The sequence below is a fragment of the Homo sapiens genome, chromosome 5 (assembly GCF_000001405.40).
Source record: "Homo sapiens chromosome 5, GRCh38.p14 Primary Assembly".
In the NCBI taxonomy this organism is placed as follows: domain Eukaryota; kingdom Metazoa; phylum Chordata; class Mammalia; order Primates; family Hominidae; genus Homo; species Homo sapiens.
This window is the reverse complement of record NC_000005.10, coordinates 14,679,585-14,700,565: the sequence shown is the minus strand read 5'-3', so window position 1 is coordinate 14,700,565 and position 20,981 is coordinate 14,679,585. Positions and strand designations below refer to the sequence as shown.

General features: G+C 41.1%; 1 protein-coding gene across 6 annotated transcripts in view; it reads right to left on the bottom strand.

Annotated features, from left to right (window-relative positions):
* The window catches only part of OTULIN (OTU deubiquitinase with linear linkage specificity), a 51,808-nt gene that overhangs the window by 15,960 nt on the left and 14,867 nt on the right, over nt 1-20,981 (bottom strand). For 3 of the 6 annotated variants that reach the window (NM_138348.6, XM_017010015.2, XM_047417864.1), the window contains 4 exons: nt 18,959-19,102; nt 12,920-13,045; nt 10,258-10,527; nt 716-7,712 (listed from right to left, as the gene is read on the bottom strand). In NM_138348.6, the coding sequence (NP_612357.4) occupies nt 7,518-7,712; nt 10,258-10,527; nt 12,920-13,045; nt 18,959-19,102 (735 nt within the window). In that variant the 3' untranslated portion in view covers nt 716-7,517. Of the gene's footprint in view, nt 1-715; nt 7,713-10,257; nt 10,528-12,919; nt 13,046-18,958; nt 19,103-20,981 lie in introns of those variants that run through there. The other 3 variants (XR_007058658.1, XM_011514151.3, XM_011514154.3) reach the window with 2 other exon arrangements.

The window sequence follows — 20,981 nt, the reverse complement described above, 5'->3', positions numbered from 1 at the left end:
GGAGGGTGGGCATGGGGTTGGGGTGAGGATGGAGAGGGCTGGGAGGACTGTGCCTTGGCCGGCTCACCCCTACATCCCCAAGTTTGGAACCATGCCTGGCCCCAGGGCTGGCACTCTTTGGTGAATGGATGCAGGCATTCCCATATTCCTACCCTGAACATGCCAACTCTAGGACACCAGCAAGACAGCCCTCCCTCCCGTAACCTTCTGGTCTTCAATGCTCTCTTCTTGTCCCTGAAGAAGGCCAAACCCTTTGTGAACTAAAATACTCTGAGTGAGTTATTGTTACTTGCAACCAAAGGGCCTGACATGGAATCTCTAACACCCCTTGGTCCGCCTTTCCTTCCTACTGCTCCCACCCTACATCTATCTCGTTTCTGTGAAATTCAGATAGAAAACTCAAAAGTGGTTACAGAAGACATGAACAGATGGCTCCCAGGAAAGGACCTGAAAATGGTTTACGCAAATGAAAACATGCTCAGCCTTTCTCAAGAAACGCAAGTCAGACTTCCAACCATCAGCTCAGCAAAGATCAAAATGTTTGATAAAGCCAGTGTTGTAAGAGCCTAAGGAAACATACTCGTGCTCTCCAATGGGACTGTACATCAATGGCACCACTTAGAGGACAACTTGTTAAGACGTCTCAAGCACACAGGCAACTAGGGAGAGTTTAATGTCAGAGGCAAAGAACATGAACAGGCAACCGAGCCCAGACAAAAGGCAAGGGTAGGGGTGAGGAGGTGAGACAGAAAATTCAGAGAAACTACAGAAAGAATGCCCAGGTTTCAGGCAAGACGGAAGCGGTCAATAGAAAAATACTGTACAAACAACTTCTCGTTCTAAACACACATAATGCAGCTGGTGTTCTTTATTTAATGGTTGTAAAGGGCTTCCACAAGACCCACAGCCTGCATCCCTGTTTTTCTCTCCACTTTCTTGAGTGGGAAAAGGCGGTGGAAAAGGAAATTCAAGAAACACTGTCCACAGAGTTGAGCAGAGCATCGTAATTCAGACAAGTAGAGGGAGAAAGTGCATTTCTGACACTGAAAAAGTGTATCAATCCAAATGAATGGGCCACTGGAGGAGGAAAGTGGTTTGTTGTTCACAGTGGGGAGGTCTTTCTGCTGCACATGACCGACTTAGCACTGCCGTCTAATGGATGCCCAGTACCTACCCACTGGGTTCTTCAGAAGCCCAGCTCCATCTTGCAAGACTCCCAGACTCTAGTTCTTTGACAAACAGGAAGGCAGAGCTCTGCTGACTCAAACTTCATTCTCTATCCCCAACATACTTCTGAAAGTCCAGTCTTCCCCCTCTTCAGAGGATTAACTTCTTCCATTGAGAGCCTGATTCATAAGCAATTTGTTGAAGTTCTTGCCATCACATTAGTGGGTACATTTCCAGCAGTGTAAATGGTTCATAAAGAAATGTCTCGCACACACCAAACCTCTTTGCGGCAAACACACAGCAGGGCTGGGTCAGAATTGGGGCTGCAGCCCTGCTTTGCAGGTCTGGAGGATCTTCCCCTAATAAGTGCTAGCACCTCACTTAATCCACACCACCACTGAGACAGACTGTGTGTGGTAAAGATGAAGAAACAGATTTAGGGAGGTTCAGGAACTGTCCAAGCCCACCCTTTTAGTGGGCAGCGGGAATGCTGTTGAATCCAGACCCAAGCTGAAAACTATGCACCTAATTTGGCTGGCAGGGTTGGGGGCACTTAGTATGGGTTAAGCACTGTGCTAACTGCTTCATCTCATCTAACTCTTCCACACTGCCCAATACTGCCTCCCTAAACCCTTGATTCCTCTGCTCACAATGGCCAGGGGTCAAGAGTCAGCCATGTGGACATCATAGGTCTGCCTTGCGGGTGCCAGAAAGTTAGAGCCCAATGTAATAGCACAATCTGCCAAAGTCCTCAAAGGCAAGCATTTGACCACAGCAACAGAGCCAGGCTTCTGAGTTGTATTTTCTAAGTTTATTTTTAGTTATTTGTTTTTACAGTCCTCTGCAGCAGGGTTTGCTAAAGTGGATCAACAGCAAAGCCCCCAAGTCAGTTCAGCTTCTGACAGTGAAGACAAGAGACTCAACAAGTAACAGAGGAAACTCTGGCCCCAGGAGCCAGGCAACTGACCGCATCTGCAGGTGGGAACCAAGGCCCCAAACTGCACAGAGCCTCGGGGGCATGTTTTTCAGAGCAGGCGAAATTTTGGACACATGCGGAACATCTTATGGTGTAAACAGAGGCACTGCTAAACAAGCCAAGATGAGCGCTGCCAGGTTCACACAGTGTGCTGCTCCACCAGCCTCCATTCACAATGGCTTACCCATGGAAGAAAAACACCATCGCCACTGGCAGAGGGTCTAAAGTTGGCTTGTTATCCTCTCCAAATTCATAATACAAAAAGTTAGAAGTGGCTAAAATGCAGGCAACAATACCAAAATATTTTTATAAAAACAATGGAAATGAGAAAGAAGCTTATTAAATACATTCATTTTGACTTTGTTCCTTTATCAAATACTCAGAAGTAACCAACATTACTGTGGATTGCTGCAGTTCTTATAAGGGGTACAATGTTTTAGCACCATTTATGTGAATACAGTCAAGGCATTTTTCAATATGTAAATGAAAACTCCTAAAATTAAGTATAAAATATTACTTTGAAGTTCAGAATTAAGCTCAAGTACTTCTGCTTACTGGGAGAACTGCCAAGTCCACTGCCAAGACTGTGGACATTTTAAGCCCTGTGTCCCTTCCTTGTACTGATCGATGTTTTGGCAGTTTCATTTCTGACCCAAACTTATACCAAACAAATCAATGAGATTAATTGAGAAAACACAGTGTCCTCCTCCATTAATGCTAATGAATGCTATTAAAAAGCATTCACAATGCTTAAACAAACTGGTGGCCATGAGGTCTGGGACCACACACACATCATAAATGATGTATTGATATAACATTTCAATACAATTAATGTATGTGTTTCTAGACTTAACCACTCTATCTATTTCCATTATACATACCAAAACCCATTCCGACATTCCTGGTAGTAGATTTCAATATAACCTGAAAAAAATACAATACATGGGGCCAGGCGCGGTAGTTCACGCCTGTAATCTCAGCACTTTGGGAGGCCAAAGCAGGTGGATCACCTGAGGCCAGGAGCTCGAGACCAGCCTGGCCAACATGGTAAAACCCCATCTCTACTAAAAATACAAAAATTAGCTGGGAGTGGTGGTACACACCTGTAATCCCAGCTATTTGGCAGGCTGAGGCAGGAGAACTGCTTGAACCAGGAGGCAAAAGTTGCAGTGAGCTGAGATCGCACCACTGCACTCCAGCCTGGGCAACAGAGCAAGACCCCATCTCAAAAAATATATAATACAATACATGGGACAGTTCACCTCCACCCTCCCAGAATACTGCTGAGTCCCAAGCTGCGAGGACACATGCACATAAAGGTATGCTGTGACTGCAGACCAACACGCATATACACACATGCACACACACACACACACCCCTCCTGGTCATGGGCAAGCCCACCTCACACCTACTGCTAGTGACTTACAGGAAATGCCAGAAGTGGCAGGCTGTCAAACCAGTTTAGTTTTGTTGCTTTTCATTGGTTCCAAGTTATAAACTGAATTACAAAAACATTAATAATCAGTTGCCCATGTCTTTCCTCACACATTCACTAAACCACTGTTCTGTTCAACGTGGCACTGGCTCCCTAGTCTTCCCATCCCCTTAGATGATGTCACAAATGAGGTTTCCCGAGACAGTTAAGCATTAAAATACATACTTCTGTTAAATAAGGGACTTAAATTTTAGAAATAGGAATTTGTAAACTGTATACACGTAAGGCCTTCCATTCATTCAGATTTTTATTCTTCTATAACTTAAGCACAGGAGGTCTGTATGGCATCTGTGGTTTTGTTCTTGAATGGCATTTTAACATTTATTCTAGAATTAGTTCCTCCTTCTTACAGTTCCTTGGACCATTTTTAAATTACTTGATATTGCGCCCTGCCTTTGCTAAACTATTTGGGAATTCTATGTATTTCACACACATTTCACATTCACTTCACACACACTGAGGGCTTTCTTTTTAAGTACTCACAGATCTTACATAAATGCATTTCTTTTACTGCATGTCTACAAGTTAAGATTCCCCAATGGTTTATGCTTCTGGCTTTCAAAGGGGAGTACCTGCAAAGTACTGCTTAAGAAAAGGAGATAAGAAAATGATCCAACTGTACTTTAGTATCTGAAGAAGACACATTCAGGAAGTCTATGTAAGTCCTATGTAGATGCTGAGATGGCAGAAGTGCTGTATCATTAAAGGTGATTCAGCACTTCACAGCCTCTCTCTAAAAGATCCTCAGAAAGCAGACTAACTCCTAGGTAAAACAGCACATCGGGAAGAGGGAGGACACAGGATGAATAACAAAAACAAAGACCAAGTACATAAAAACTCACAAAGGCTTTTCCCAACAGAGGTGTTAACAATTCATGTGGCTTGAGATTTTTACCTGATAAGCTCCAAAAGTGGAGGGAAAAAAAAAAAAAAACATACCAAGGCAATGTCCGTTCTCCTTAAGCAAAGAAAATCTTATCAGACACTAACTGAATATATAATAGAGTAACAAAAGTGTAAATCGCTAAATAAAGAAAAAAGGATTCATCCTGTTCTGTGCATTGAAAACATTTTCATCCACTCTGTATTCTACGGAAGAGGAACTGCAAACACTTTCAATCAAATCCAGGCCCGAATCATCAGTTAGAGACCATGTATTACTGGTTTCTTGTTCTCTAATGTGACTATCATTGTTCCTTGTGGATGGATAAAATCAACAGATGTATATACAGAAGGAGCTCAGGATGTAAGGAGGGGAATCTGAAAATGTTCTGGAAAAGCAGTGTTAATCCCATGAAGCATAATACAGGGAAATTATTTTAGGTTTAAATGCACCTTAAATGAGCTCACAGGTATAAAAGTCATGCCTGCTTAAGATGGAGATAACTTTTCTGCCAATACACAGGGTCCAAAACTCCTAAACTCTTGCAAGACACTCTGGGATAGAAAGTTAGGCATAGTATAGTTCCTACTACATTCCTTTCTTCTAGAACACCTTATCATTTTGAAGACTGCTCTAAGTGGAACATCCTCCTGAATCCACTTAATCTCCATTCAACTTCTAATCTGCTGATGTCACCTGACCAGCTCAAGACCAAGAATGAGAAACGGAACTAAGATTCTGGGCAACTGAAGCTGCATATTGCAATTAAAAAAAAATTATTTTTAAAGTTGGTCAATCATTTCTATTTCCTGAAGTACTATTTATTTGAAAGCTTTGCTTCTCTGACGCCATGATCACACTAAACCTAAACAAGAGTCTGACAGATTCTGACAAGGCCTTCGGACATAAGCAACATAAAAGAAACACATTCTTTTACCCAGAAATCCAATTCAAGTTCACTAAGATTAGAACAGTTTCAAAATGCAAGGATAGATGACTATTATTAACATGAGTATTCTTAAAATTCAATGACATATATAAACTGATGGTCAGATTCAATGTACCTGAAGGGCACAGATCTCTACTGCTATGTATGTATGATCGAAATGTTTCGAGTTGTGCTTTAAAAAACATCAGAAATTAATGATAAGCATTTCCTGCTGTACAATCCCATATACTGCAATGAAAAATCAAAGCCAATAAGAAGTCATTATTACTTTAATTTGGCTTCTAGGTACCTTCTTATTCAAGGCACAATTGCATTTCACAGTGAAGAACACAAAGCCTCTCCAACATATTCACACACATTTAGAGCAGAATTTGATTTCAACACTCTAATCAATAAATATTTAGCAAAATGTGGTGAATATTACTGATGAGGTAATGGGAGAAAGCTAAAGTAACAGTCTGAATAGTTTTGTGCATCCTGAGTTTTCTTAACTAAGACTTTATTTTTAATTAAAAACAAAATTTACATTTTCAAAAACGGTTTGCCTCAAAAAAAATAGCTTCTAAACTATATTAAATTGGACCAAATAAGGATTTTAATTATTATAAAACAAAGCTCAGTACTTCAGGGAAATACCACCTCCACAAACGTTGAGCCAATTCAGGGGCTGCCAGTAGAATCCTAAAGAGTGATGTCTCCGGTTCATGTGAACACCATCTGCAGTCCACACCCCTTGAGGACAATTCAGGCCATAAGGCAGACCATGCTCAGCAGAGCTGCCCCTTCACCACCCCAGTCACCACCCTTAGCCTGATTGGGCAGGCGATGGCTCATAGCCAGGAAGGCTGCCTCCCTCAGGCTTCCCAAAACCAATCAAGGGCATACGCGGCTCAGCCACACTTTTGCACTCATATTCCCGTATGCTTCCGCTTAAATGTACTCATGAAAAATTTTAAGATGGTTTGCTGTCACTCATCCCCTGACCCAGACGGGTTACACAGATCTGGCAGTGGACACACCCTCCAACACAGCATGAAAAGAGCATAGGAAAACCCAGGTCCAGCTAAGCCCTACCTCAAAGTAATTTGGCCTTTGGTTCCTCCTCTGAAAGCAGGTGGATACAAACTGTTTGGCTATAAAATTGTGAATCTATGGAACTGTAGAATAATTAAAGCTTCCAACACTAAACCACAAAGGCAAGTAGTGTCTGTCCACACTGATGGGGCACCACCTGCACCAAGCCCCAGACTCCAGTGCGCTGGGGGCATCAGACATCTGTCATAGTCACAAGGAGCAAGAAGTTCTAGGTTCCCTCACCACTCCCTCCTACGCTCCTCCAGTCTTCAAAAATGCCTTGAAATAACCCACTTTGGGACCCAATTCTTAATCTGTTGCAAAACAATCTGCTTAAAATAGCCTTAATTAAGATGTAAGTCCAAACCATTGCTCTTCCCTTCATAAAAAGGAGAAGGTAAGATTACCAGAGGTTGTCATGACTATGCCAGTAACAGATCTATCCCAGAATTATACCACTTAAAGCAGACTGTTAGAAGCCCCCTCAGTGCAGTGGGCAGCACGTCAGTCTCATAATCTCAAGGTCCTGAGTTAAAGCAGACTGTATAGGAAGATCTATAGAAACCCGTTACTACTAAAGGGGAAAAAAAAATACTGTACTTAAAAAAATTAGAAGCCAGTTTACCATTAGAGAGAGTTTTGATTTGAGACATAAAGAACATATTCCTCTCCAAAACTGAGTTTCCTCTGATACAAAAGTATTTGCCTTCTGGAGAAGATATGGTTTGCACCGTCCAACAGGTGTGCTCTGAAGGCCCCCACTGAAATATATTGCATCATAGATGAGGGGAAAGACTTGGTTAATTTCTCTTATCAAAAGCTAGTCTTCAGGACATCCTGTCCAACTTGGCTCCCAGGGGCCCAAGGGTTCTTCTCAGAGATTGTTCTTAGAGACCCCCAAACCTGCAGCCCAAGCCCAGGAGCCACCTGTGCATCTTCGCCACGTCGCCAGGCTGTCAGGAGCATGCGTCTCTCATAGACTGGTCTCCTCACACACTCTGACGGGGATGTTATAGTGCCGATCGTCCTCAGCAATGAGCGTTACCACTGGCCAGTCCTTGGGTGGGTCGGTGGGGTAGACTGTGATGAATTCTTCCGTGTTGTACTTGGAGAGCCGGTACACCTGGATGGTGTGGCGCACAGCATAGGCAAGAAGGAACATTTCAACCTGGGAAGAAGAGCAAACGGGTATTCTGAGGAAGATCACACTGAAAAACGTGGCTTAACACCATGTTCCATCCATTATCCCACAGTGCACAGCAATGGTGAAGCCACAACGTTTTTTCCTCCTGCTTTGGGCCCAGCCCCAATCCTTTTCGATTTAAATAAAAAAAAAAAAAAAGCAGATAATCAAGAATGGATCATATGTCTGATAAGGATCCTGTATCCAGAATAAAGAACTTTTACAACAATTAACAAAACAAAAAACCAAATAACCAGCTTAAAAATTAGGCAAAGGATCTGAACAGACACCTCTCTCCAAAGAAGATATACAAGTGACCAAGAAAGCACATGAAAAGATGCTCAACGTTGTGAGTCATTAGGGAAATCAAAATCCAAATCCAACTACAATGAGATAGTACTTCACACCCACTAGAATGACTATAACCAAAAAGATGATAATGGGGAATGGCTGCTTAATGAGCACAGGATTTTCTTTGGGGGTGACATGTTTTAGAACTTCATATAGGTGGTGGTCACCAGCAGTGTACTAAATGTCAATGAGATGTACACTTTAAAATGGTCAATTTTAAATTATATGAACTTCACCCCAATACAAAAAGTCAGAAGTGTTGGTGAAGATATGGTGAAACAGGACACTGATACATTGCTGGTGAGAATGTAAAATGGTGCAGCTGCTTTGCAAACAGTCTGGCAGTTCCTCAAAATGTTAAAGCAATTCCACTCCTCGGTGTATACCCAAGAGAACTACAAACATATGTTCACATAAAAAAAATTATACATGAATGTTCATAGCAGGGTTATTCACAGAACTAAAAAGTGGAAACAATCCAAATACCCATCAAACTATTGAACAGATGAATAAAATGTGATCCATCCATACAATGGGATATTACTTATCAATAAAAAGGAATGAAGTACTAATACATGGTGCAATATGGATGAAATCTTAAAAACATTATGCTAAATCAAATAAGCCATAAACAAAAGACCACATATTATATGATTCCATTCATATGAAATGTCCAGCACAGGCAAATCCATTGAGACAGAAAGTAGATTAGTGGCTGCCTAGGGTTAGAAAGAAGACAAAGTGGTTACTAATGGGCATGAGGTTTCTTTTGACAAAATGCTCTAAAATTAGACTGTAGTGATGGCTGCAAAACTTTAAAAGAGTGAACTTTATGGTATATGTATTTCAAAAAAGAAACTGAAAATTTCTTATTGAAAAAAAAAAAAAAGAATGGACTCACCATCACAGCAGACCTTATAGGGTCTCGGAAAAGACTAACTTTAGTCTAATATGCAAACCATCCTCTATAAGCCTTTTGACTGCAAGGTACTTGCTATGGTTCAGGAGACGTAAGTAACCCACATTATGAGTACAGGTAATTTTTGAAAATAACTATCATCAGCCCTGCCTGACCCAGCAGTGACCATCAGTCTACACTCCTTCCTACGCACTTGGCAATAACAGAAGAAGAGACCTCACACTCCAGGACAGCTCAGAATGGAAACTAACTCAGCTCTCTAATCCTTGCAGTATCTGTCATGGCACTTGGGCCTTTTTAGAAAAAAGCAGGCACAAGAGTCAATTATGTAAGTAGGAGGGTGGCACTTTGATGAACAGCCTTAATGCTACTTTAGCGGTTGGCTATTCCAATAAAAAAAACCTCATTAAGACTTTTTAGGAAAATGAACACATCAAAGATAGCACAAGGTGTGGTGACTCAACTATATTGGCTTAGAGATAGTACTGCACTGGGTTTGTGTGTAAAACTCCACACTTAACAAATCTGTAAAAGATCCAAGAGCAGGCTGAACTCTACTGGCTAAGGTGACTCCATTTCTCTTTTTAATGCAGCTACAGTTGCCAAGATTAAACAAGACCCTTCGAATGGCTCTTCCAAGTACTTCACTTATTTGTAGCCTCCCAGAGCCAAGAGTACTAATCCCATCCACCCCTCTGAAGAATAAAGCCCAGGCTGAGATAACGGTGGTGACTGTAAAGTATGTCCACAATTCTTTGGTACCCCTCATTCAAAAAGGTGGAGCCAAATTCCCCTCCTCTTGAGAGTGGAATGCATCAAGTAACTTGTTTCTAAAAAGTAGAAAACAATCTAACAGTGTGTGACATCCTAGATTAGGTCATAAAAGGCATTTTGGCTTCTTTCTTGCTCACTGCTTAGTTCACTCTGAGAAGCCAGCTGCCATGTTGTAAGGACACTCAAGCAGCCCTGTGGAGGCCTATGTGTGAAGAACTGAACCCTCCTACTAACTACCAGTAAGGAACTGAAGCCTCCTGCCCACAGCCACATGAGTGAACAACACTGGAAGTAGATCTTCCAGCCCCAGTCAAGCCTTCAGATGACTGCAGCCCTGAACATACAACTGCAGCCTCATGACATCCTGAGCCAGAACCATCCAACTAAGCTGTCCCTGAATTTCTGACCTACAAAAACTGTGACATCAAGTTTGATCAGTAAAGCTGCTTTATTTTGGGGTAATACATGCTCAAAAGCACAACTTACCTGTTCAAGACCACCAGTGTGTCCCACCTGGTTGAGGTGGTTCCTCAGAAGCTGTCCTGGGTCATTTGATGTGTCCCGAGCAAACAGAAGCACAGAGAAAAATGGTACTTCCTTTCCTTTCTCTTTATCATTATATAGTTCAATGGCTCTGTTTAGCATTAGAAATTTTACAGCTTCATAGAGGCTATATTCCTCCGCCTCATTTGTGAATAGTTCATCACAAGCTATCTGTCTTGCTTCAGCAGTTCTCATTTCAGCCAAGCCTGCCCACTACAATAAGAAAGTTATGTAATAATTAGAATTTTTGTTCTAAAAATCCCTGGTATAGTACCATACTATGAGCACAAAATTATTTTTTAAAAGTGACCATGGGTCACTTACCAATGCTCACAACATTCAGGTTTCCAGATTAACAAATGGTACACTTTAAAGCACACAAACTCCTTATTCAGCTTTTTCTCCCATTAATTTGAAAGAAAAATACAATGCAATAAGAAGCACCGAGGCTGTGGAAATTTTGACTCCCTTAACTTCCCAGGCAATGAGATTGAACCAGCCAATCAGAGACACTTATGGAAGAGCTAACACATGTGTGTGAAGCCTGTGTGTGAAGCTGTGAAGGGCAGCTACAATTATAAGGGGCTTACAGGAGGGTTAGCACCCAGAAACACAAAGCCAACCCTCCTAAATGGAAGAGAGGCAAGGAAGGGCGTAGGGGCTCCTGAATAATAATTTACTAAACTTATCCCTCTAACCTCAAAAATATATATGAACTTCAAATGAATAAATCCATTCAGGAAACTCTTGACTCCGGATTAAGAATAAAGTAATGTGTTAGGTATTCAGTGAATATAGACAAACTCTTTAAAAAAGAAAACCTATAAATATATGTGCTTTTAAGTTACAGTGAATGAGAATAAGAGACGCCAACATAAATACCATTCCTTATGAATCAACAATAACTAGTGCCCCTCTCAAACACCATTATGGATTTTAAATACAAGAGTGAATTCAATGGTAATGACTGCATACAATTCCCTCTAATATTTGGGCTGAAGGCTGGTACTTGCTTGTCTGTATCTCATATTTTCCAAACTAGACCAAGTTGCCAATCATGGACATGGCTCTAAAGTCAGTCGGGATGGAATCAAGGCTTCACCACAGAGCAGCTGTGGTGGTTTTTGCAGGGCATTTAACTGAGCTCCTGGCCTTAGTTTCCTCACCTAAAAAACAGTGATGACCACAGCGACACCACCTTCATAGTTGTGAGAATTAAATAACACATGAAATTTTAGTGTGGAGCCTGGCATAGAAGTGTTAGTAATGCTGGCTCAGATTATTAGTAATTTTAACCTTATTGCAAATTGGCACCACTCAAGCATTCCCAAAAATGAGGGTCTAATTATAGTAGAAAAACCTAATAAAGCAGAAATAGCAATTTCACAAGACCTTAAAAAAATGAAAACGAAATTGTGACCTGTGGTTGCGCTGAAGGGCCCTCTCGTTCACTCCCACAGGGCTACAGCCCTGCCGTCAGCCTTCCACTAACCCAAGGACTGGGGAACACAAAAATCCTGCATTCTAGTCCAACAGGTAACAAGAATGGAATTTCCCTCTTCCCTTCTTTTGCTCCCATTTCTTTATAGTAAAAGAAAGATAAAACTACTGGACTTCCTTTGACAGTATATTTTCCAGTAAACATTTCTTATCTTTCTAAGCAAAAACTAGGTTCCAAGAAGTCAGGGCCCTCAGTTCACTAATTCAATAAAGCACTAAATGAACACCTATTATGTGCCAGACCTGCTGCTGGACACAGGGTGTCAAGGAATGCACAGGACAGTCTCTCGTGGAGCTGAAAGTCTAATGGGAGCAGCAGACCATGTGTGAGTACAGAAATCACTGTTTGAAGTACGTGCTAGGAAGGACCTTGAAAAGTCCATGTTTGACCCCTCTCTACTTGACCACCCTCCACCGACACCCTGGCGCAAGTGACAGGCCCTCAATCAGGGTTCTTGGTGAGAAGGGCTCCAAGCTGCTCAATGAAAGCAAGCTAGGGGTCATGTAAGCCAGTGTGCAGGCAGGACATCCAACCCAGAGGAGACAGTGGAAAGCCACAGAAAGGTAGAATTTCAAAGACCAAATCAATAGGAATCAGAAGACCAAGTTCTCCCTACAATTCTGTTTCAGAAAAACTCTCAGGACAGTTTTCTAAAGACAAGTTACTAAATCTACTAACTGGAAAATCACGGAGAAAGAAAATAAGTCTGATAAATATGGGCAGAATCTTAAAACATGAGCATAATTGGAAAGAATTTAATAAATTACTAATGATATAAGAAATAGGAACCAAATTATATTCTTGAAACATAAATATGACTTGGAACAAAGACTATATTTGTTAAGGTTTCCTTTTAAGAAAGTCAAACACTTCATTATTTGATACCCTAGTACATGGCATCTGCTCTAAGAATATATAATGTTGGTACTTCCCATTTTACTAAAGCCCTCGTGGGAAGAGTTTGAATTCATTTAAAACCATTTTGCCTAAAAATCAGCCAAGAGCATTTGAAAATCCACTGAGTGAAGACTAAAAACTGGTCTTCTGGGGCAAGCAAGAACGAGAGCTTCACCCTTATCAGACAGGACACTACAGGTTCCAAACCTTCTTCCTCAGCAGAGTAAGGGACTCTTTAATTTTATCAACCAGGTCCTCATTCTTCCCATCAAATTTCAGTCCAAGTTTCCATTGCTTGATCCAGTTGTATTTGCTTATGAGTTTTTCTGGTAACTACAACATCGAGAAACAAAGAGATAAAGAAGTGTTAACATTCCAAGAAATCCACCACACAATCCAAGCTGTAAGAAACCACAAAGTCTATAAAACCTAACTTTGTTTCCAGAATTAATTCTGCAAATCTGTGATGTGGGCTTAGGATGGAGGACCTAAATCTAGAAGTCAGGAACTTAGAAAGTACCACCCTGAGGAGGGCTGCTGGAGTGAAATGGTGCTTTTGGTTGAGCCAAAGCACAATCTGCCTTGCAGGACTCCAACCACGGCCAGGACATTCCACAGCAGGCCATGCCCACAGCACGTCCTCACACCAACCACCTTCAGGCTATGGGACTCACTGCAGCCTCTCAACCACCACCTAACACATGGCTCGGGACAGTGCTTCTGAGCATGTGAGAAGGTCCAGGGTGAAGCCAAACCTTCTCCTTTCCCAATAAGAAAAATAAAACCTAGTTTCTGGCATTTAAAAAATCCACCAAAAAAAGGTAGAAAAAGTTTGGTTAAATAATGTTAACACATATACTCAAGTTTTAACATTCAGAGAAATGATACTATGTCTAGTTTAACTATCTAATCGATCTATTAAGATAAAACATACAATTGAAAATCAGAGGCAGGGTTAAGTGAGCTGTGCTCACTTAGTTCATGAAAGAAGTGACAGCTGAACTACATTGCTAGTTTCCATTTTTTTTATTCCTGGAGTATTTGTTACTTTGTTTCCCTCTAGTTATCAACACAATCTGCAGTTTGAAAGGCAAGCTGAGGCACAGCCTGACTGATGACAGCATGGGAAGTAAGACTCTTCCAACAGTCTTGGGTGTGTCAGGAGAAAAATCCTAGAATTAGGCTGGGCACAGGTGTGTCACTTCACTGCTATAAAATTTAGAAAGGAAAAAAAGTTCACCTCCAAGTCAACAGATCATTAAAGAATAATTAAATCCTACAATATCCTATGAGGAACCTGACCTTGTTTAGCAGTTATTAATACAGTTCTGCCAGTACAGGCAACATAGCAAGACCCCATTTCTATAAAAAAAAAAAGTTTAAAAATTCACTGGGCACAGTGGCATGTACCTGTATTCCCAGCTACTCAGGAGGCTGAGGCAGGAGGATCACTTGAGCCCGGGAGTTTGAGGTTACAGTTAGCTATAACTGCACCACTGCACTTCAGCCTGAGCAACAGAGCAAGACCTCATCCCCAAAAAATTAAAAACTTTATATAGTAAGAAAGAAATGAATAAAAATAAATACATAAAATAAAATAAATACAGTTTTAAATGAGGCCAAATCTTCCATTCAACTGGAATGTAAGACTAAAAGACCCTTTCATAAATAGTAATTCTGGTGGTACCTTCTCAACCTAGAGCAATCGTGTGAACTAAGGTGGTTTCTACAAAACACAGAACCACGATTGGGATGTAAATTACTTTTCACTGTGACCACAGTGATGGCGAACTACATCACTCACTAAGGGTGGAGAGGGACTTCTCCTCCTCATCTTATTAGAATAACAAATGACCACCCACCTAAAGGCTGCACCAGCCCACTCCGTGCCCACACTGCCCTGCGTTTCGGCAACATGTGGCAGTTCTGCAGCAAAACCTTCAATTCAGTCTCTCAGATTTATCACAAGAACCTCACATGCCCTCAAGTGGCAACAAGCTAAAATTACAATTGGGCACAAAGAACTACAAATGTGCAGAAAATACTGGCTACACAGATGTGAGCTGGGAAATGAGGTGAAGGGAAGCCCAGAAGACCGGCTGAGCATCTGGGGACATGATACAGTTATCTAAAAAGTAGGTACAGTACTCAACTGAATTACTCAGGAGACCCTGAAGACCTAACTACACAGAGAGAAACAATTGTTTCTGATTCCCTTCACACACTGGTCAAACAGTTCAGGGTTGTAGACTTCCAGGAAATGCAGAAATCCTTAAGACAATTTTAAAAAATGAAGCATGAAAAAAGCCATCAGAAAAGAATGAAGTCAAATTTATTCAGAAGAAAAAAGTGAATACAACTTCAAACGCTTTCAGAGGTCACAGCACATGGAACACACGTAAATAACCTTTGTTTTCCACTAAGCACAAACTGGACTTCTATTAGAATAAAGAAAATTTAAGCAAGAAACCAGATTTAAACAAGAAACAGTGATTGGAAATATTCAAGAATAAAGTAGGTAATTAGCTTAGGTGTCATTTTGTTTGTGACTAAACTATAAAACAGCCTGTTTTCTCTAGCATATGCCGGTAATTCTTGATACCACAACAGAAAGCAAATAATAAAAATGTGTCATCCCCAAAACTTACAAAAAAATTTTGATACACAGTCTATCTCACTCTAAGCAAACACTGTCACAGTCTAACCAGTTCAGAGACATTATAAAATGTAACGAACTTGGAAACCAAACTCTAAAGGGTACCCTCCTCAGGAACCAAAGTGTTGTCCCACATTTGAGAGCCAGGCTAGGCCATCTCCATAGCTGGGGTGAGGGTCAGATGATCTGGCTGCAGCCAAACACGGAGACTGGGATCTGGGCAGAAATGGGAACAACAAACAGGACACCTGGGCAGGATGACAGGAGGTGAGGGACAGCCGAACTGTCAGAGGGGCAAATAAGGACAAAGCTCTGCCTCACAGGCAGGGAACAGAGCAAGGCCAGCAAAGCTGAGCAGCAGCAGAAAGGAAGCCCGGGTCTTCTTCACCGAGCATAGATTAAGGGGAGGGTCACTCAGTCTAGCTTTCCCAGCTCCCTTTAATACCCTAAAACCAAATGATGTTCTAAAAGACAGAGAAGACAGCAACATGCCACAGAGAACATCTCTCAATCTGCAAACAGAAGCAGATAAAGCTAGCTAAAGGTTCCACCCCTGATTTATTTCAGTCACACTGCAAGAAACGCTCACTCAACAAAGCCCTTGTCAGAGTGGACCTTCCAAGGGAAGGGCTGTGGGGCCAGGGGGGCCAGAGTGAGAACAGGAATGGAAAGGCATCCACAGGAGGGTCTGCGGGCCACCTGGTAGATTTGCACAACCAGAGTAAGCTTATGGGTCCCTTCCTTCCTTCACTGGCCCCTCAAACACAAAGCATGTGCTGAATTTGAATTTGTCATCCAATCATGTCTCAGACGTGATACCACAAAACGAACTGGGTAAAGCAAGTTTTCAAACTATGTTAAATTGCTGAGGGCTGGAACAGCAACACAAGGACAAGTCCTCTGGCTGGATGACAGCAAGGAAAGAACAAAGACGTTCTTCAGCTAACATTCAGATCCAACGTTTAATAAACATAAATATCAAACCCACAGGCAGGTACACTGTGTTTTCCCTCTCTGACAGAGGCCTCTTGGCATTCAATTAGATGACAAAAACCAAACCAAGTGACCAACTAATTAAATTATGCTCCCAGAAAAATATAATAGCTGATACACATAGAAAAGGAAAGAAACTGGAAAGAACACTTAAGAATTTTAAAACTATTTTCACATTACTCAAATTAAGTCAGAAAAACCACCTTAAAACCCCATCACTCACACATGCAACATATTGTAACAGTGATTAGAGTTTGAATGTAATCTACCCAGACTATTTTTAATATGGCAGATAATCTTACCCAATATATCCTGCTAGCAAAAAAAAAGGGGGGGAGACATTGTACTTAACTTTTTTAAAAGCAATTTTATACTTTATTTAATTAATTAGGACACTATTTACCCCAGATTCTCAGAAAGTATAAAAATACAAATTTAGTGTCAAGTAAGTCCATAAATCCAAATAGCTCCTTAAAGGTAAAGCCTCAAAAGGAAAATTTTGCCTAAAATTGAGGAAGATATTATGTCACTATCCAGAAATACAGATTTGTAGATTAATATAATATAGCCACAGTTGCCAGCGCAGCCTCCTGAGTAGCTAAGAACATAGGTATACACCACCAAAATCTAGAAATTGTGTCATATATATCTACAGTTGTCAAGCACAGAAGTTAAAATAAGGCAAAGCAAAAACAGTGAAATCATTGTTTGCTTCTCTAGTTGGGTCTTATATCCAACCATAGGAATGCTTTCGCCAACTGGCAATTCTGAAATACTTTACTAATAAATGGCATCATTTACAAAAGAAAAAACAGCTTAGTATATCCATTTCTCTTGCCTCTATATGAAAGAAATAAGCTAATACTGAAAAATCGGCTTAAGATGGCATGCATCTTTGCTTAGAAGAAAATATCTTTCCCAGATGTTGGTTTTGGTTTTTTTTTAATAGACTCCCCAATACAAGGGGTCTCCTTATGTTGCCCAGGCTGGACTTGAACTCCTGGCTCAAGTGATCCTCCCACCCCAGCCTCCTGAGTAGCTAACACTACAGGCGCCACCACACTTGGCTCCAGATGTCATTTTGACAGTTGATATAGGTGTGCTGATTTTATGCTGGTGTATTAAACAATCATGGAACAGATGGGGAGTATCCTTCACCCATCAATCCTGGTTTTGCCCTTCTGAGCGTGTGATCTCTCATCCACCTAAAAGACCTCTAGCTTAGTCAACAAGTTCCTCTAAAAGTCTTCTTTATTCTAGGAAAACACCCCAGTTCCTTCAATGGCTCCCAGAATGTGAAGAAGCATCCTGGCCACATTTCCATCTGCTGAGGATACTTTATCAGGCACCGAGCTTGAGATGGCCTCTGACCAGCCCAGTTCAAGGTGGGGCTGTCACTGCCTAATTCTTAGAATCATTCCTTTTAAAACGCAGCCAGGTTGGTCTTTTTGCTTAATATCAAAAAAAATAAAAATAAAAATAATAAAAATAAAATGCAGCTAGGGCTTTGTGATCATTGCTAGCCATCGCATTTCATGCAGGCTCACAGTGGGCTTGCATAATTAAAATCCTAACATCTTTTTCTTTCTTTTCATAAATTGCTATAAGGCCAATCTCCCACGGCTAGCATTTCTGGGTTTTGGATTTTTTAAATTTAAGCACAAGACTTTCAATTTTCTTCCAGTTAATGTCATATTGTCATTTTTTTTTTAATTTAAAAATATTTTGTTGGTAAAAAAATGCTAATGATCATCTGGGCCTTCAGCAAGTTGTAATCTTTTTGCTGGTGGAGGGTCTTGCTTTGATGTTGATGGCTGCTAACTGAACAGGGTGGTGGCTGTTGAAGATTGGGTGGCTGTGGCCATTTCTTTTTTTGCAATTCAACTTTTATTTTAGATACAGAAGGTACATGTGCAGATTTGTTATATGGGTATATTGCTGTCTCTGACCAATCATTCCTGACCAAAAAATCTTTCAGGATAGTCTATCACCCACCTGACTATATGCCTTTATCCGTGTCAGGACATGCAGACACATGACTTTCCAGTGCATGTCTGCCATGTGGTACATTTAAAACGCTAAAGAGGGCCAGGCCTGGGACAGGCTGAGTCTCAGCTCCTCAGGAAGCCCCTCTCCATGTGACAGTAATCATGTCTCTTCTAGTGTTCCTGTTCTGCCACCTACTAAGCCAATCCTCACACTTAGCCAAAAGTACTAATTTATTGAATTATAGCTAAAAACTAAAGAAATGTGTATTCTAAAACCCTAGCAGGTTCTCAAATAGTAACATATACAGCCTACTTAAAATAAACACCAAAATTGAAATCGAACTGTTCCTAAGTGCTTTATACAAACATCTGCTCTCTAATTCAACTAAATTGTTCATATAAATTTTATCATTTTTCTCTTCTAGGAAACACCAATTATTTTTGGTCATTTAACTATGTGAAATCACCCCAGCCACACAAAACTGAATAAACGCACATGCTGACATCATACTGCAGACGATACTAGAAGGTAGCATGGACAGAAAGGGAAAGTTTTCTCACAAAAATTGTTTGAAACATTTTGGACTCAAACCTGCAGCAGCAGCGTACCAGCATGAGCTCCGGGTCCTGCAGCCAGGGCGGCAGCCCCACAGCCTGGCTCATGGCCTGGAACAGCGTGGCCCTCAGTGCACAGTAATTATCACCACGGACTCGCCGTATGGAGGTGAACTTCTGAGAAACCTCTTCATAGCCCTGGGAAAAGGTATGAAAGAATTCAAAATGGTCGTTACTGACTTGAGATAGCAGAGAAAGTTTCATTCCTGTGGAAAAAGCTTGGCCTGGGATCACTGGGAGGATGCCCAAAGTTGGAGTTTTATGTCCCTTTCTAAGCAATTGTTTTAACACTTACTCACTGGCAAACAACATTTTGAAGGGTTTACTCTGTGTTTCAAATGACCCTAAACTCTTTTAAAAAAAAAAAAGGCAAGAAAAAAGAGAGCTAAACTAAGTTTATATTTTCCTACTAAAAAAATATAGAAAAACCCCAAGTTTCCAAAACACAAAGGGGGGCGGGGGTGCTTTGTGTATGTGCATGTACACATAAAAGTCTATATGCCAGGAGATGGCTGAATAATTCTGTTAGGCTTCTTTTTTTGAGATGCAGTTTCGCTCTCGTTGCCCAGGCTGGAGTGCAGTGGCGCAATCTCGGCTCACTGCAACCTCGGCCTCCCGGGTTCAAGCAATTCTCCTGCCTCAGCCTCCTGAGTAACTGGGATTACAGGTATGTGCCACCAAGCCCAGCTAATTTTTTGTATTTTTAGTAGTGACAGGATTTCATCATGTTGGCCAGGCTGGTCTTGAACTCCTGACCTCAGATGATCCACCTGCTTCTGCCTCCCAAAGTGCAGGGATTACAGGCGTGAGCCACCGTGCCCCGCCTTCTTTTCTTAAGTGAAGTGTCACTCTTGCTCAGTCTGGAAGTGAAACAAGCAAATGAAAATATTCAGTGACATGCTTGGGCACTCAAAAACAGCCATCCAATGGACCATTCTGAAACGTACCCTGAAAAGACACCAAAAAATCCTAGTGAGTCTGGTCCCCCAGCAGGCATGATGATGCCTGGCTTCTCCAGCTAGACACATGCACAGTCCTTGAGACTGACTGAACTGCCCACCATCTCCCTGACCCTGGGTCGAGTCAGCCCCTTAACTCATCCAACTTTTCATTGACAGTCACTCAAGACCCACTTCCTACCCTGCACTCACAGAAAGAAAGAAGTGTTACCCTCATCGTGGGGTGGACGCAATGCAGACCACCTCTGTCCTGTGTGTCCAGGTACTAGAACCTCATTACTAGCTGTTTTCAAGGTTCAAGTCATAGGATGATGTTTTAAGTGAATATAAAAGTACTTTTTTCCCCCAATAACAACATTTTGAGGGTTGCATTTTTATTTAGTGGTCCAACCACTGTAACACATAAGGTTCCATCAGGCAGAATCACACCTACTAATAATTATGTACTTCTTGCCTATGGTAAACCTCAATTACCCCAGAATACTTATGCAAATCCAACTGCAGCTGTACCTTTCCAAATGCATAAATTACTCAGGCTATTTCAGAATAAAATTAAATCTGAATTTGTAGAAACTTACTTCCAAAAGAATATTCGAAACAAAAACAGACAATCACGCCAATAAGGACTAAAATAGAATGGAGGTGAAAGCTGTTTTCAGGCATCTGAGATGCTCTAATTACTGCCATGGGTCCTGATGGGCTAGAGGTTGGAAAATCTGCAAGTGACCAACAGCATATTTAGCAAAAATATAAATGTTCTTAACCTCTGGCAGGAACTAAGAATTCCAGGTTTTTCATAATTGAGTTCTCTAACCAACGCCTAAAACACAAAGCATCTACATATCAGACTTGCAGAGAACTATCATCTGCTCTCAGAGCTTTACAAGTGGCAGCTAGATTTTTCTAAGGTCAGCCCATGGGCAGCTGAGGTACATGCTGAAAGATGAGCAATCATTTTCTATAAAAATGAGCTCTGAGGAAAAAACTAAATATTCAAATATTTAAAAATTTAAAATCCTAACCAAAAAAAGTTAAAGATATTTCTATTAAATATGACA